The sequence below is a fragment of the Homo sapiens genome, chromosome 15 (assembly GCF_000001405.40).
Source record: "Homo sapiens chromosome 15, GRCh38.p14 Primary Assembly".
NCBI classification, from domain to species: domain Eukaryota; kingdom Metazoa; phylum Chordata; class Mammalia; order Primates; family Hominidae; genus Homo; species Homo sapiens.
Window position 1 is genome coordinate 88,498,318 of NC_000015.10, and position 18,272 is coordinate 88,516,589.

Below are 18,272 nucleotides of genomic sequence, written 5' to 3' on the forward strand. Positions count from 1 at the left end.
GGTTGAAGGAGTGAGGAGGGGACTGTGTAAGCTGGAGAGCACACATGCTCAGTCTAAAGGGGGCCCCGATTATTGGCATGTGGGACTGTTAGGCTTCCTGACAGCAACATGAAAAAGCAGGATATTCTTTAAAACTTCAAAACTGCAAACATACCAAATAAAGCATGTCAGTGTGCAGCACCTCATCTCAAGGCCTCCAGTTTGCAACCTCTGCAGAAGCACTTGGGAGGAACCAGCCTGGTCTGAAGTCTAGTCTCTGAGCAGCCATCTCTCAAACCTGGTGAGGAAGGCAAGTTCAGACTCACAGTGGTGGCTGCTTTGGATATCTGCCATCACACTCTCTCTTTCCAAGGGCCCTAGTTAGCCAGTTAGCCAGTCACCTAGGATGAGGCTGAAGCTCCCCTTGCTCCTCTTGCACAAGGTGGTGTGGTGTCAGGGCCTCCGATACCCGCCCTCCCTAGTCCATCCTGAAAGGCAGGCCTCCCAACTGGGGCTGAGGTCATTCCCTCTTCCTCAAAGTCTCTCAGCTGTACCTTAAAATCCCAGTGGACTTTTCCAGGCCATGTTGCTCTGTCTGTGTTATAGCTGGTCACATTCTGTCTGCTCTAATCATGAACCTGAAGGAGAGGAGTGGTGGAGCTCCTGAACCGCTAGTAGGCAGTTCAAGGATCAAGAGGTTCAGTACCACAGCTGGCAGGAATAACAAGTTCAGACCACCCTCTTCTGAAGAATTAGCCCCAGACCCAAGGACACCCCTGCCTCCACCCCAGGCTATGACAGCAGGTGAACTGGCCACCCCCTCGTCTGGAGAGAAAGGGCCCTAGAGCAATCATGTGAGTACTTCATGTTGCTAGGGAGCAACAGGCAGCAGCTGGCTGAGAAATAAGTCGTGTCCTTGGGAAAGCATGTTCCTGGCCACTAATTAAATGCTGCTGCACCATCTCCTCCTTCAGGGAGCTATAGAAATGTGCTGAATTAATGCAGATGGGAGCAGCTGGTTCACAAGCCTGCTAAGCCTCCTCCTGTCTCTGCGCAAAGGAAAGGCTCAGGGGGCAGGAATGAAATTGCTAAACCCCTGGGAGGCTGGTAAAGAAAATCTGGCCTCAGACTACTCAGTTCAACTAGCCCACAGAGTGTCTACCTAATACCACCTCTACTGCTGCAGGTGAATTCATCTGTTAAATACTTTTAAGAAAATCTCATTAAATGCCACTTCTGGGTATATGCCCAAAATAATTGAAAGCAGGCTCTCCAAGAGATAGTTACACATCTATTGTTCATCACAGCACTATTCACAAGAGCCAAGAGGTGGAAGCAACCCAAGTGTCTATTGATGGGTGAATGGATAAACAAAAGGTGGTATCTACCCACAATGGAGTATTATTCAGCCTTAAAAAGGAAGGAAATTCTGACACACGCTACAACATGCATGAACTTTGAAGACATGATGCTAAGTGAAATAAGCCAGTCACAAAAGGACAGATACTAGTGTTCCACTTATATGATTACTAGAGTAATCAAATTCATAGAGACAGAAAGTAGAATGGCGGCTGCCAGGGTCTGTGGGGAGGGAGAACAGGGAGTTGTTGTTTAATGCGTATGGAGTTTCAGCTTCGCAAGATGAAAGTTCTGGAGACTGGTTGCATAACCACCTGAATGTACTTAGCACTACTGAACTCGCAGTGGTATTACACTTGGAAATAGTTACAATGATAAATTTTATGTTTTTTTACTGCAATGAAAAAGATTTTCTTAATTCATGTTCACAGTGAAAAAAAATTACAAAGATAAAGGGAAATGTCTATCTTCCCTCACTTCCATGCCCACTTCCCAGAGAAAACCATTAATAGTCTTCTGCATCCTTTCAAAAGCATTCTATGACTCTACAAGCATGTATGTATTTATATGCAGACTGACTTTAAGTTCAGCACGGTTTAGTTTTTTCTTTACACGAAAAATAGCATCATGCTAAACACAGTTCAACTAATGTCTCAGAGAGCTTTCCAAATCAGTATGTACAAATTTGCCTCATTACTTCTAACAGCTCTATCAGATCCCATTGTATGGCTGTCTGACGATGTATGTAGTCTGTTTTCTACCGATGCACATTTAACAGTTCCCACTTTTTCATAAAAAGTTGCAATGAACATATGTCTTGTTCACATACACAAATGTTTTGCCCTGACACATTTATCATTTTTTTCTTCTGATACCTTTGGTATTGACACATAGAGTTAGAATTTAACTGGGTTAAAAGTTATATGCATTTTTTAACATATTGCTTTTTTGTCTTTCAAGAAATCTGAACCAACTTACTCTCCCACCAACAGTGGGTGAGCACCCTACATCCTTGTCAATACTAGGTCATCAAACATCTTTAACCCTTGCTAATCTGATGGGTGAAAAATAAATATTATAAACAATTGTCATGTGGTTGTTGACCATGTTTATTTATTTTTTTCTGGGAACACTCTGCTAATAACATAGTCCATTTTTTCTTTTGTAGTGTTCATATTTTTATTAGATATTTATAGGATGTTTTGTAGTAAGGAAATCAATCCTTTGCTAAAGGTGTTGTCGTTTGACTTTGTTTTGTTTTTGCTTTTTTGCCACGCATAAATTTTCATTTGTGGGATTTTTATGGGACTTTTCCCCCCTAGAAGGGGCTTTCTCACTGCAAAATTATAAACAGAAACCCAGAAGACAATGGCACCCCGGCTATCACAAGTCCATTTTGCATACTTGTTTTTCTCTGACCTTGGTCCCTGTTGCTTGCCTCTCCCTGAGTCCTTCCAGCATGAGAGACACAGAAATGTTCCTGCATCTGGCTCCAGATTTCTCCATTCTGCCTTTTTAGGAAACTCAATATTTTTCTAACATGTTTCTTAACCTTCTAAAATGTATCCCCTCATTTGATAACTAGGTAAACCTCATGTTCTTCTAAGATTTTGAGGGGATGTACCCCAGTTATGAATCACTGCCTTCTGCATAACCTCATCAGACAAGATTGCTTTTCAAACTCTCTGAGGTTTGTAATATGAAAATGTATGCATTTTGCATTTTCCCAATAAAATTCCCAATAAAAAATGTACTGAGGTTTTTTTGTTTGTTTGTTTGTTTGTTTTTTTGAGACAGAGTTTCACTTTTGTTGCCCAAGCTGGAGTGCAATGGCGCGATCTCAGCTCACTGCAACCTCTGCCTCCCAGGTTCAAGCAATTCTCCTGCCTTAGCCTCCCAAGTAGCTGGGATTATAGGCGTGTGCCACCACGCCCAGCTAATTTTTTGTACTTTTAGTACAAACGGGATTTCACCATGTTAGCCAGACTGGTCTTGAACTCCTGACCTCAGGTGATCTGCCCACCATGGCCTCCTAAAGTGCTAGGATTACAGGCATGAGCCACCACACCTGGCCTATTTTTTTTTTTTTTTCCCGAAGTATATCCCTTTCAGGATTCTGACATGGCTACTATATCAATCTCATGCTGAACCTACCCTGAGGGTTGACAATCACTTTTCAGATAAACATTTTTAAAAAATTGTTTTAGCCAGAATGACATTTAAAAGAGAAGATCTGAAAGGAAAACAAGCTAGAGTCCATTTGTTTTTGTTGTTGTTGCTTTTTATTTCAGCAGCTTTTGGGGTAGCAGTGGTTTTGGTTACATGCATGAACTGTGGTGAAGGCTGAGATTTTAGTGCATCTATCACTGGAGTAGTATACACTGTACACAATATGTAGATTTTTATCCCTCACCTCCTCTAATCCTGCCCCTTCCAAGTCCATCATATCACACTGAATGATAGAGGCAATTTATTTTGAGTAATACATCCCTCCTTAAGACAGATTTCAAACTTTGTAACCCCCAACAGAAACTTTTAAAGACTAGGGCAAATAACCCCCAACAGAAACTTTTAAAGACTAGGGCAAAGAGACTGAATCTAAAGATTACCTTTCATTCACTTTTTCATTCCGGTTCAGAATATTCCCATTCCCCAACTTCTCCTTTCTTTCAGTAGAAATATGGCCCCTCTCTATTCTTTCAACAATTAATTAAAACTAAGAGACAGTCTGTCTCTCTTTTTTTTTAGTCTCTTCTTCTCACTCTGGGAAGTTAATGACTACACTTAGAAGAGAAACAGTACTTGGAGACCAGATCTGGGGTCCCAGGAAGCAGAACAGGCTGGGCCAGGAAGAGCAGCTCAAGGTGCAGCAGTGTGGGGAGCCTTCGAGCTCCACTTCTGCTCACTAGAGTTAATGTGTGCTACTGCCAGGCAGCAACTGCTGACAACTCGCCTGGGGTGCTGCAAATGCTCCCTGCAGGAGGTGAAACTTCAGCATCAAAGAATTAATGAAACATTACATGGATAAGCAGTGAGCTTCCACAAAAAAGCCGCCCAACACTCAGCTTTCTTGTTAACTCCATACTCAAAGACTGGTTTCCTGGTTCCCTTACTGATGGTGGGACAGTTGAGAGAGAGGACAAGGCACCTCTTTCTAAGAGAGAGAGAGATCGGCATTCAGAGACATTACCAGACTAGAAAGGCAAAGGTTAGAGCTGTGATTTACACATTCTTCTATTCCTAGTCCCTGGCCCTTAGCAGGTCCTCAATAAATGTATAACATATGAATAAACACACAAGTCAACTAACACACTAGTGTTAAGAAGGAGAAAGAGGCCAGGGTCACACCTGTAATCCCAGCACTTTGGGAGGCCAAGGCAGGTGGATCACTTGAGGCTAGGAGTTGGAGACCAGCCTGGCCAGCATGGCAAAACCCAGTATCTACTAAAAATATAAAAATTAGCTGGGAGTGGTGGCACATGCCTGTAATCCCAGCTACTTGGGAGACTGGGGCATGAGAATCGCTTAAGTCTGGGAGGCGGCGGTTGCAAGAGCTGAGATCTCACCACTACACTCCAGCCTGGGCAACAAACTGAGACTCTGTCTCAAAAAAATAAAAAATAAAATAAAATAAATTTAAAGAAAAAAACAGGAGAAAGAGAAATTATGTGGGATATATTGTCAACCTTTAATAAAAAATACTTTGCTAAGCCATCCACCTACAAGGAAGAAGATGGATACAAAGACACAAAAATATCAAATTTCCCTATTAATATTTTTAGAAATCAGTAAAATAACCAGTTTAGACCTAAATAAATTCAGAGATTTAAATGAATTCTGACATAGGCCAGGTTAAAGTTTACTTGACATTAACCAGTAATGTTACTTTTAGCAAATTGCTTGATCTCTCTAAGGTCAGTTTCCTTATCTACAAAATAGGAATACTGCATTTTTCAGAGGATGCCATATTGCAAAAAGACACCTTTATTTATGTATGTGTTGGCTATATATTGCTACACAACAAATTACCTCCAAAATTCAGCAGCTTAAAGCATTTATTGGCCAGGCGCAGTGGCTCATGCTTGTAATCTCAGCACTTTGGAAGGCCAAGGTAGGAGAATCGCTTGAACCTAGGAGTTTGAGACCAGCCTGGACAACATAGGAAGGCCCTGTTTCTACAAAAAATTAAAAACAATTAGCCAGGCATGGTGACATGTACCTGTGGTCCCAACCACTCAGGAGGCTGAGACGGGAGGATCGTTTGAGCCCAGGAGGTCTACAGTGAGCCATGATCATGCCACCACACTCCAGCCTGGGCAACAGAAGGAGACCCTGTCTTAAAAAAAAAAAAATCATTTATTATCTTACACAATTTCTGAGAATCAATAATCTGGGAGTGGCTTAGCTGGGCAGTTCTGGCTCAGAGTTTCTCATGAGGTTGCTGTCATCTATAGGCTTGAATGAAGCGGGAGGACTGGATTCCAGGATATTTCATTCACATGGCTATCAGCAGGAAGCCTCAGTTCCTCAGCAAGGAGATCTCTCCAGGAGCTTGCCTGTGTGTTCTTGTGATATGGCGGCTGAATGATTCCAGGGGTGCGGGCGGGGTGCAAAAGCCTAGCCTTGAAATGTCTTTTATAAATAAGCCTTGAAAGTGGCACATCATCACTTCTACTGTGTTTTATTGGTCATGCCAATCAACCATGATACGATGTGGGAGGGCATGAATATAGAAGGTAGGGTCACTGTAGGCCATCTTAGAGGCTGACTACCACAATCTGTCACTCTAAGAACAAATTAAACCATGACAATGCTTATTGCTTGGAATCATTTTTATATTATATTAACCATGCCTTTTGTTTTCTGATGACTTGACATCTTGGGGCTGTACTGACCCTGGACTGCCCCTCCCAGAGTTTGCTAATTCCTGGAGATAGCAAACAACTTGCCTGAGAACACGTCTTTCATATGCAAACCAACCAATCCAGAGCCCACACCTCAAGCACCTTTTTATAGGGCTCTCACACTCAGCCCTAATCACCCCAGGGCCAGGTACCAGACAACCAGGGATAGCACCTAGACCCCAGGGCCCATCAAAATTCAAATTAGTCAATCCCAAACCTGCTTACCTGCTGTCTGGCACATTAATTTCTGCAGAAACCACAACACAGGCTCTTATCCATGTTTTCGCCTGTTCCCTCTGCCTCCTGACCAATCCAGGTGCTTACCCATGGCCCTGCATGCATACCACGCCTTCAATTTCTAGGGACCTATGCGTATAACAAATTTCTTTCTTCATGACAGTCATTTCGCGTGTGCCTTCCCATAGTTGATTAAGACAAATGCCAGTACCTTTAAGATATACGTATTCAAAAAGCGCTTTTGGCCTTTTTCAGATTTTGTTTCTTATTCGACTTAACCTCTAGTTTCACTTCTTTCTATATTGAATCACATGTCCCTGGAAATTAATCAGCTCCTGTTCAAAGTCAGCAGGAAGCATCTAACAAATCGATTCACATCTCAATGATTAGTCCTGTGCTCTGCATGAATTGGTGTCTCTCACTACATTAAAACTTCTTCCATTTATTCCAAAGGATGGGTCAACTTCTCCTTTAGTTGCGCCTTGTTTGCTGTTTGATAGGCAATCCTTTCGCATGAATCTCAGCATGTCAGTAAAACTTCATTTACTAGTGGGTATCTTTCTTTCTTAGTTCCAAAAAAACACCTCCTGCTTTGTAAAAAATCATGTTCATTCCTCCAATGGCAAATCTGTGCTTTACTAATATCAAATTAACCCCACTGCTCTGCCTTTCTGAGTATAAAACCACCTTTTATTATAATACCAAATCACAGTATAATGTTTTTGAAGGCATCTTAAAAAGCGCTTACACTGAACACATGTGGTTATCAACAATGCACATTACTCAACAAAAATGATGACAATGGGAAGAGCACACCCAGTTTGCACATCCACAGGCGACGAGAACAGCAATGTTGCAACTGCTGCCTTGCTGACACTGAGAAGACACCAACTTTAAGATACACTCCAGTTTCAAAAACTGCATCTCAAAATTCATGAAATGCAAATACTTTCCTATATAAGGTGCTTGGCATAGCATCTGGCCCATAGTAAGTAAGCTTTTAATAAATGTTAGCCATCAACAACACACCAATAACAAACCTTCAGCAAACAAAGCTCCCTTTAACCAATGTGTTTGGTGGCAAAGCAGGTTAGAGGTGTTCTGGTCTCCTCAGCCTTAGGTATGCATAGGTGATGCATGGCAAAAGAATGGCACCACCTCAACTGACATGGGTGGGCAGGGGTTGGGCCTAGAGAAGCGGCAAGCTTATGTCAGGTGGTCACTAGGAAATGAAGAGGTACAACCTGGGCTGGGAGCAGACTGTGACACTAAAGAGGCGGGAGACCCTCCCACACAGGCCAAGAGATTTACAGAGAGGGGAGAAGGCAGGGTGCATTTACTGGGCACTTATTGTATCAAGAGCTTTAATTAGTACTCACTTAGTGCTCACATCGACCCTGAAAAGTAGAAATTACCCCCGTTTTACAGAGGAGAAACAGACGTGCTAAAATTCTTATCATCATGCCCAGGGGTACATCATAGGTGACACAGCCAGGGTTTGCACCAGGCTTCACATGAAACTTATTCCCATAATTCTATCAGGCACCATGGATAAAGAATCCAAGTCCTACTAAGTATCTCCCTGCCTCCTACACTAGTAATCAAACATTGCCTGATAGGCAAAGACTTCAGAATTTTTTTTTTTTCAAGCAGAGGGTTATAGCTATAAAGGGTATATACTGAGCAGATAAATGCTGTAAACAAAATTGCCCTGTGGAACATCAAAATCACTTAATATGCTCAATTGCTTTCAAAGCATGCATTGCAGAGAACCGTTTATGCTGATTACCAATAATTATAATCTACTCATTAAGGAAAGTCCCTAAGGGCTTCTACAAAGGAACACTTCATGACTGAGTTTAAGTTACTCTGTGTACTTGAAAATAATGAAGCTACCATTCTTTTAAAAATTATCTAATTTAGGTTTTTCACTCATTTATACTGTGCTTCTCTGCAAGGGCTCCAAATGAAAGAGGTTTTGCTATCCTTAAATGGAGCCCTTCTCTCAAGGTCCAGAGCAGCTTGGCACTGATAGCTGACATGTCAGCTCCCTGCCAAGCAGGGATGGGAGGAGAGAGGTTCAGGGAAGAATCTGGATCTGAAAGTCTGTCCCTGCTTTTCTTATAATTTTGGTTCCAAAGAACTTGTTTCTCCAGATTCTTGAGATCCATCAGACATTTGTGGAGAGAAGACACTAGAATTGACTAAGAACTGCCTTAAATCCTTTAGGAATAAAACTAATATACAAAAAAACAAAGGCATTGATAACTTAATATAAGCCAAAGTACTCAATGAAGTGAGTGCTTCCCCTCTGCTCTCCTTCAGCTGTTGGAGTGCCCCAGTGCCTTGGATCCTCACCTCTTTTACTCTATATAGTCCATTCCCATGGCTTTAAATTCTAGCTATATGCTAATGTCTTTTAACATTATAAATCCAGACCTGACTCCTTTCTTGAGCTCTAAATTCATGCATCCCATGACTTAAAACATCCTCATCTGGATATCTAATAGGCATTTCAAAACTAGCATGTCTAAAACTACACTGATTTACACCCACCACCCACCCCACTAACGGGTCTTTCCTCCAAGACTTCTCATATAGCTTCAATATCTATCCATTTATTTGACTCCAAAACTTAGGAATTATTCTCAATTTCTCTTTTTTCCATCCCCCTCTGTTCTGTCCATCTCCCACACATCCGACTTCACTCTAGGGATGTCCCCTGAGCAGTCTAAACCAATCACGATAGTCCCATACTCTTTGCTAGTGATCAGAATCCTTGGCCAAAACTAGTCTGCATGGAATGTCATGTGTCTTAATTCAGGTCAATGGTACAATGAGGTAAAGATTTCTGGGAACATTTCTTTTTTGAGGATGTCAGTGAAGTAACATGTATCCCACATTTCCACTATCCAGTGCCCTATGAGCGTACTCAAAAAGAATCCACCTTAGGATGAAGCTGATTTTCTGGATGCAGGGAAGAGGAGGAAAGAACTTGGCTCATAGATGACATGGCTGATTACCTAGAACAGGGGTCCCTGATCCCTGGGCCATGGACCAATACCTGTCCACGGACTGTTAGGAACCAGGCCGCACAGCAGGAGGTGAGTGGTGGGCAAGTGAGCGAAGCTTCATCTCTATTTACAGCTGCTTGCATTACTACCTGAGCTCCACCTCCCGTCAGATTAGCGGCGGCATTAGATTCTCATAAGAGCGCAAACCGTATTGTGAACTGTGTATGCAAGGGATCTAGGTTGTGCGCTCCTTATGAGAATCTAATGCCTGATGATCTGTCACTGTTTCCCAACACCCCCAGATGGGAATGTCTAGTTGCAGGAAAACAAGCTCAGGGCTCCCACTGATTCTACATTATGGTGAGCTGTATAATTATTTCATTATATATTACAGTGTAATAATAATAGAAATATGGTGCAGAATAAATGTAATGCACTTGAATCAGCCCAAGCCATTCCCCTGTGCCCAACCTGTGGAAAAATTGTCTTCCATAAAACCAGTTCCTTGTGCCAAAAATGTTGGGGACTGCTGACCTAGAGCATATAACCCTGAAATTCACTCTACATCTGGATTTCCAATTCTGTGAGACAATAAATTTCCTTATTGTTTAAGCCAGAAATTTTGGGTCTTCTGTTTTTGCAGCTGAAAGCAACTTAATAGATGCAAACAAGGGGAAGCCAACAAAGAGGACCAAGAAGCAACAATCATTAAGGCAGGAAAAAAAACATATACTGTCCTAGAAACAAGAGAACCAAGTATTTCTTGGTATAGAGACAAATCAGCTATGTCCAATATTGGGAGGTTGAGGAAAAGAAGGACTAGAGGTGACCACTGTATTGGCAACATGAAATCACTGGTGACCTGGACAACTGCAGTTTCAGAGGAGGGGTGGAGACAGAGACTTCTTTGGAGTGGGTTGAGGAAATGGGCCACAGGGAAGTGAAATCATTTAATTTAGACAACTCTTTTGAGAAGTTTTGCTATGAAGGGTAGCAGAGAAATGAGCAGTAATAAAAGAGAATAAGGGGTCAAAGCAGGACTTTTTAAAGACCAAAGATCTTCTAGCAACAAAAATGATTTATCAAGAGAAATATGATGCAAGATAGATAAAATAATTGCAGGAACAAAGACCAGGGTCTTTTGAAAAGCCACAAGGAGACAGGATCCAGTGGACAGGTAGAGGGGCTTGCCTTTTAGAGAAGCAGGGATTATTCCATTTGCTGCAATAGGAGGTAAGGCAGGGAACAAGTACAGATGCAAGTCATAGCTAACATGGTAAAGAAAGGCGAGTTCCCACCTGATTCTATTTCTGCCAAGTGGCAAGATGACCAGCTGAGATACTGGAGGAGTTTTTTAATGTGTTTTTAATAAAAAGGGTGTCGCTCTGTTGCCCAGGCTGGAGTAGTGAGGCTCACTGGAACCTTGAATTCCTGGGTTCAAGCAATCCTCCCACCTTGGCCTCCCAAAGCACTGAGATTATAGGTCTGAGCCACCAAGCCTGGCCTACTGAAGGAGGGGTTTTGAAGTGAGAGGCAAAGGTGCAAAACAGCAATTTCAGAGAGTTGGAAAGTAAACAAATAAGGAAAGTCTTACAATGTTGAAAGGATTGCTCAGCGATCTTGAGTGCCCATTTTAAGTCTGTGGTCATGAATTTAAGAATAGACATGGTTTTTCTGCAGCTATTTTCAGCTGTTCAGAGACAGACATGTACAGAGTTGAGAGTTTTCCAAATTTGCATGAAGGAGGCAGAACAGCAAGGAAGTTAAGGGAGTGATTATCGTGTTAGATCATGCAACCTAGGCTGAATAACGAAAGACGAGAGGATCTGAGGGTAGGTGACAGCTATGAAGATGCTGGTATCCCAGCAAAGGCTAGTGGTCCACCAAAACTCATTCTCTTTTCTTCTGAATGCAAGAGTACACAGGACACAGCTGGCCAGGCACACTACATTTCCCAAGCTCCCTTGCTTGTTAAGTGGCCATATGGTGAGGACCTCTCCAACGGAACATGAAGGGGAGTGATGTGTGATCCTAATGGAGAGTCTCCTCCACACTCATCCTCTCCCTATCTCAATCCAAGACAATACCACAGTGAATGGCAAAGAAACAAGATGGAAGACACTTGGGTCCTTCAGGCTGTGTGTGGCAGAACCACTCACTGATGCTGAACATCTGCCTTGCACTGTGACCTGAGAGAGAAAAAAACTCCTCTCTTGTTTAATCACTGCATGTGGGGTCTTTTAGCTATAGCAGTTTATCCTTATCCTAACCTGAGTCAGGGATTGGAGGCTTCAGTGGGGTCTAAGATCCTCTGTAGTGGAGGTAGTAAAGAGAGTGAGGTGAAAGGCTAAAAGGTAGTGGTCAGAGTGGGGTGTATGGATTATGAAATTGAAACTTCAGAGGTGGGCAGTTTGAGGTGATAAAAAGATCTAAGATAGGATCAATGGAATGTATGACTAAGGTGGAGGAAAGTGCAAATTAAGTTTCAGAAAAGATAGAAGATTGGCCTAGGATCACACATGAATGAGCAGAAGGGCCCAGATTCCCATTGGGACCTGAGTGACTTCACACTCCATGCTCTTTCCACTCTGCCAGGTCCTCAGGTTCAATCAAACCACCTGGTTCAAAGAAAAAGCTGCAGATAAAGTGTTTCTATGAAGAAAGGTTAGTTCAGCCCCACGAACATGTAACACAACTTCTCCTGGGTAATGGGTAGTACACTACAAGAACACAATTATACCCAGTATCTGACTTAATAATGGCTCAACTCAGGATTTACTGACTTACAAGACTGCAAAAGCAATACATATTGAGTAAAGTCCTTAAGATGGGATTATGCCCAGGTAAACCCGTCATCAGATATCTTCAACTTACAATGGGTTTATCTGGCCGTAACTCCCTCGTAAGTTGAGAAGCAACTGTATTGTTTGTTTGGTTGTTGTTGTTTTGTTTTTTTTTTTGTTTTTTTTTTTTTGAGACAGAGTCTGGCTCTGTCCCCCAGGCTGGCTGGAGTGCAGTGGCGCAATCTCGGCTCACTCACTCAAGCCCCACCTCCCGGGTTCACGCCATTCTCCTGCCTCAGCCTCCAAAGTAGCTGGGACTACTGGCGCCCGCCACCACGTCCCGCTAATTTTTTTATTTATAGTAGAGACAGGGTTTCACCGTGTTAGCCAGGAAGGTCTTGATCTCCTGATCTCGTGATCCGCCCGCCTCAGCCTCCCAAAGTGCTGGGATTACAGGCATGAGCCACCACGCCTGGCTGAGCATTTGTATTGTTAATACATAATTAGAATCATCATGCTTTGCAACCCTACATTTTTCATGATCTACTAAGTATTTCATCCATCCAGGGGCCCAGTGGCAGCATTCACACCCTCCTGTTCTCCTTTGGATGACCACCACGGACTCACCTGGCCTCTCCCTCTACTCTCTATTCCCTCCAAGCCATCTTCTAGACTGCTGAAAGTTACCTTGTGAAATTCGTATTATGTCTTCTACTACATAAAACCCTAGCAACCTGCACAAGACCTCTCTTCCCAATATCCCCTCAGTCTACCTGTTCAGTCACATTTCCCATCTCCCTCACCCCAGTGTATGCTGCAGCTGTATTTGCTTATTTACCATTTTCATACTTCCATGCCTTTGTATATGCTGGGCCTCTCCTTGAAACATCTTCAACTCTTGGTCATACAACACATTCCCATTGATCCAACTCCAGTGCTCTTCCACAGTATATTTTTCTTTTTCTGCCCTTCCTTCATCTGTCTCCACTGTCCCTAGAGAGACACAATGAGAGCTGTTATTGTACTGTATTATAATAATCTGTCTATTTCTCTCCTCATCCTTGGCATCCTGACATAGTTTCCACTTGACTCATAGCAGGTGCTCAAATCCTGCACTGAATGCTGAAGGAGACTGAATTTAGCTACTCCATTTTGATCACACTGAAATTAGATGAACTGTTTTTGGTGGGACTCAGGATTTCATATCACATTTCTTATTTTCCCAAAGAAAGTCAGTCTGGATGGCAGAGGAAATACAGGGTCCAGCTGTTTGCATCCATGGCCCCTTTCACAGTCTGCTCTGGAACCCAACATTTCAAAGCTACCTTCAAAGTCAGATGTTACTAAACAAGCCTACTACACTACTGGCGGATACATTATGCAGATGAAACATAAACAGGCTGGCAAGAGTTGAGAATGTGACAGAGGATGTGGCTGGGGCCACCAGGTATTTGCGGGATGGCTGTGATGGCTCAGCCATCCAGGAACAGCCAGTCTGGTCTCTGTAGGGACACCTGCGGCTTGCCAGCTCCCACTACCCAAATTACAGTACGTGCTACACAGTATTTGTTTCTGCTGTGGCCAAGGAGAGCTGCTCACTCTTCCACCTGCATGACACAGATGGTACAGATGGGAGCATGCTTCCACATGAGGATGTGCAATTACACCCAGTTCCTCCAGCTGTGACAATTACCAAGCAAAAACCCGAGGGAAGGAAACAATCCTGGCAGATAACTGTCTTCCCTGTTGGCACTTACCACTTAGTTCTCCCAGGAACAGCTGCTGCATCCATGGCCTCTCATCTCTTTCACAGTCCTTCCTGGAACCCAAGTACTTGAAAGCATTGAGTATGATAGGAACATAAAGCAGTCATCCAACCACATATATTTAAGTATGAAAATACCATGGCTTTATTTTTCTCTTAAAAAGATAGCCGTGCTTATGAGCTAAATGGAAAGGATGTATGTCATTCTCATCAGTAAACAAGATTTAACTGCTTTCAGATGCAAACCATAATGCCGAAGAAGTGACATGAAGGGGATAAAAGTCTAATGCTTTCATCTTCACAGCAATCAAATGCAAAGTAAAGCAAAAATGAAATGGACTTAATTAATGCTGGGCATTCCCACAGGGAAAACGCAAGAGGATATTATAACAATCAGTAGCAGTATTGTATACAATTTAAAAATTCCATTAGGTTGAGCCACCCTCACTCCTCTCTCTGGCTCTCTCCCATCTGAGGTATAGCAGGCTGGAACTAACAGAGCTAGTAGTCGGGAGCTTTTGCTTTGGAGTCCACTGAGATAAGTGAGTGGCAAAGTCTTGGAAGACCAGATAATCTGGCTCTGGTGAGGCACCTACGTGCAGCAGTGTCGCATATGGAAGTTGACAACATACTCAGCATTAGTCCTCTGCACAGAAATAGCGAAAGGCTCAAAAGGGTGAAAGGTGAAGGCAACAAGGCGTCGCACTGTGTGGTTGATGGGGCGGCCCAATAACCCCGCCTGGATCTCAAACTTGAGCAGGCCCGAGTCCCGGGCATAGAACCTAAAAAGAACAAGGACAGAGACAGAGAAAGAGGGGACAGGATTGATATTCACCATCGAACTGAAATCTAGACAGCAGGGGAATGTGGCAACTCATTATTTTACCTTATTAATGAAATCGCCTCTTATATCAGCCCCAGGTTATCAGAAGTATAAAATCACCCTGGAATGACCAGCTCATTTAGTGAAGAGTGATTATAAATTTTACTATGTTGCACTGAGTCACTGGTCATTTCTCTTTCCTGAGATGACTCAGTTTTACAGCCTTAATTATAGCCTCTCCGCTTCCAGACGTTCCTGCCTCAAGGTTGTCTAGGCCAGGGCTAAAAATGAAATGCAAGCCACGTGTGTAATTTTAAATTTTCAGGTAGCCATATTAAAAAAATAAAAATAAAAAGGGGAAATTTTAATAATACATTTCATTTACTCCAATATATCTAAAATATTATTTCAACCTATAATCAATATCAAACTATTAGTGAGTTTTTTTTTTTTTTTTTTTGGAAATCTGTTATGTATTTGACACTTGAGCACATCTCAACTTGAACTAGCCACATTTTAAGTACCCAATTGCCACATGTGGCTAGTGTCTACCATATTGGACAGTGTGGATCTAGGCTCACCTTTGAGTTTTTCATATTTAAGAATAAATTCTTTTTTTTTTTTTTTTTTTTTTTTGAGACGGAGTCTCGCTCTGTCGCCCAGGCTGGAGTGCAGTGGCGCGATCTCGGCTCACTGCAAGCTCCGCCTCCCGGGTTCACGCCATTCTCCTGCCTCAGCCTCCCGAGTAGCTGGGACTACAGGCGCCCGCTACCACGCCCGGCTAATTTTTTGTATTTTTAGTAGAGACGGGGTTTCACCGTGTTAGCCAGGATGGTCTCGATCTCCTGACCTCGTGATCCGCCCGCCTCGGCCTCCCAAAGTGCTGGGATTACAGGCGTGAGCCACCGCGCCCGGCCAGAATAAATTCTTTTAAAAGGTTCTTTTTCATGCACAGAAACAAAATACTAAGTAGTGTTTAATTTTTCTTCTAATATGTGAGACTAAAGATGCTTCCATCCCTCCTAGTATTTAAATGCCTTTGCCATATGCAAAATAAATGTCCTGTGGTTTGGGGAACTACAGATGATTAGTGAGTGGAGGCTGAATGGCTGAGGCAGGTCGGGGTGGGGTGGCAGGGAGGATTCCAGAAAATAAAAAGCCCTGAATTAAAAAGTCCTATAATCTCCTTTTGGAAATTCAATATATAAGCAGACCTAAAGATATTTATACCTTTTGACTCAATAATCTCATATCCAAGAATTTATATCCTCAGAATTTGATTTAAGTGAAATAACTAGTACATGAATAAAGATGACTACTATGGCATTTGTTTTAATGTAAAAATGTAGAAAGAGAATAAATGCTCAGTGATGGGGGAATAGTTAAATAAATCATGGTACATCTATTTGATAGAATAATACGCCTTCATTAGGACTGTAATTGTGAGGACTATGTATAATAACATGAAATAACGTTTATAAAATAAAAACAGACTACAAAAAATGATGCTAACCGTGATTACAACTGTGTAAATGTAAATATGCATATTGACAAAGACTAGACTGGATTATACAATACAGATATTGCAGGAATGGCATTCTCTCTTCAAATGCTGTTAATATCCTTATATTTCTCATTTTAAATTAAAAATATAAAGAAGAATTATAAGAGAAACCCCTTTATTCAGGAGCAATACCATTTCCAAATTTTAGATTCATCTTCTCCAATTAGAAAGGTAGGAAAGTCAGAAAGGAGAGAGAAATGTATCTCATGGTACTTGACTCATATCAGATAAGGCCCATCTTTTTTATGTATAAAAAACACATAGCCTTACTCCCACAATCCCCAAACACAAAGGGATTATAATTTAAAATGGGTTGTTTGACCTTCTAAATCTCATTCCCGCTTTACAGGACATATGGGTAAATAAGAAATACAGTAAATACTATCCCAGGGATGTAACAAGCAAAGTCTAGAATTTGGAGAATGCTAGAGGAAAAACAACCTGGTTTCCTCAATAATTTCATTGCAAAGAAAATAAAAGGGGAAAGAAGAACCTACAGAATAAAAATGACTGGCCAGGCACGGTGGCTCAAGCCTGTAATCCCAGCACTTTGGGAGGCTGAGGTGGGTGGATCACCTGAGGTCAAGATTTCGAGGCCAGCCTGGCCAACATGGTGAAACCCCGTCTCTACAAAAATACAAAAATTAGCCAGGTGTGGTGGTGGGCGCCTGTAATCCCAGCTACTTGGGAAGCTGAGGCAGGAGAATTGCTTGATCCTGGGAGGCAGAGGTTGCAGTGAGTCGAGATCGTGCCATTGCACTCGAGCCTGGGCAACAGACAGAGACTCCGTCTTATAAAAAAAAAAAAAAAAAAAAAAAAAAAAGACCGAAGGGACCAAATGCAATGCATGAACCTTGTTTGAATCTGATGCAAACAAATTAACTATAAAAAGAATATTTATAAGACAACAGGGATACATAAAAACTGACTAGATATTTGAAGATATTAAAGATTTTTTGTTAATTTTTTAAAGATGGGGTAATGGTGTTACTTGTTTTGCTAGGATAGCTTGGATTTCCTTTAAAATAACCCAGGACAGTGGTGGGAAGGGGAGGGAGTAGGGGTCGTGATGGAAATAGCTGAAACAGGAGTGGCCACGAGCTGGTAACTGTTGAAGTGGGTGATGGGTACATGAAGGTTTATTATGCTCTTCTACTTTTTGTATACGTTTAAAACTTTCCATAATAAAAAAAATATTAACTAGTTTTTGGAACTTGACTCTAATTTCCCAAAGGAAATATTATAAATGGTGATTAATTATACAGACTATGTCACACAGGCACATTTAATACACAATGAGACTGGATGATGAAATATATCTATCATAAAGATCTAACTACCACTGTTTCTGTGTGAAAAAGACCTTCCAAGCTCCAGCCTATAGCCTCAGGAACACACCCCCCTTGAGATAACTCCACTAGTGACAATAATTCCAGCTCCTCCCCCTAATATTATTACAGCACACAGAACAGGCTCCATATATGTAGTGACAGTTGGGTCTGTGAACTAGACTTCTGTGAGGAAAGAATTTCTTGTAAGACGTCAGTTTCAAACTTCTAACAATAACACAGTAGTCTACATTCCAAAATTCCTCCAAGTGAGGAAGCATGAGTTTCTTCTAAATCTGTCAGCAGGTCCCCAAATTGTCTCTGCTATTTTTTCTATGAGGTAACATGGCGGGATAAAATAATTTGTGTTAGATACATAATTATAAAGTCTCAATGTCAAAAACTATTATGGAATGGTATTAGATTATTAAATGGGAAAGTACAGCTTCCTCCCCTGGATACCTTTAAAAGAGGACAACACTTATCTGAATTAGATGTTCTGATGAGAAGCAAAGA

The 18,272-nt window shown here is 41.9% G+C and overlaps 1 protein-coding gene across 11 annotated transcripts in view, besides 2 other annotated features; it reads right to left on the reverse strand.

Moving 5' to 3' along the window:
* Positions 1–3,601: 3,601 nt before the first annotated feature.
* DET1 (DET1 partner of COP1 E3 ubiquitin ligase) overlaps positions 3,602–18,272 on the reverse strand; it is a 44,785-nt gene continuing 30,114 nt past the window's right edge. For 9 of the 11 annotated variants that reach the window (NR_135740.1, NR_135741.1, NR_026645.3 and 6 more), the window contains one exon: positions 14,163–14,823. Coding sequence is in view for 4 of the 11 variants with exons in the window: in NM_001144074.3 (NP_001137546.1) it covers positions 14,634–14,823 (190 nt within the window). In the remaining 7 variants the exon portion in view is untranslated. Of the gene's footprint in view, positions 4,493–13,114; positions 13,270–14,033; positions 14,824–18,272 lie in introns of those variants that run through there. The other 2 variants (NR_135742.2, NR_135739.2) reach the window with 2 other exon arrangements.
* Positions 4,114–4,644: an enhancer, noted in NCBI's record as "NANOG hESC enhancer chr15:89045662-89046192 (GRCh37/hg19 assembly coordinates)". NCBI's record gives its function as "activates a minimal SCP1, AML or CMV promoter by ChIP-STARR-seq in primed H9 embryonic stem cells {active_cell/tissue: H9 hESC(primed)}" and the evidence as "EXISTENCE:reporter gene assay evidence [ECO:0000049][PMID:30033119]".
* Positions 5,803–6,577: an enhancer, noted in NCBI's record as "OCT4-NANOG-H3K27ac hESC enhancer chr15:89047351-89048125 (GRCh37/hg19 assembly coordinates)". NCBI's record gives its function as "activates a minimal SCP1, AML or CMV promoter by ChIP-STARR-seq in primed H9 embryonic stem cells {active_cell/tissue: H9 hESC(primed)}" and the evidence as "EXISTENCE:reporter gene assay evidence [ECO:0000049][PMID:30033119]".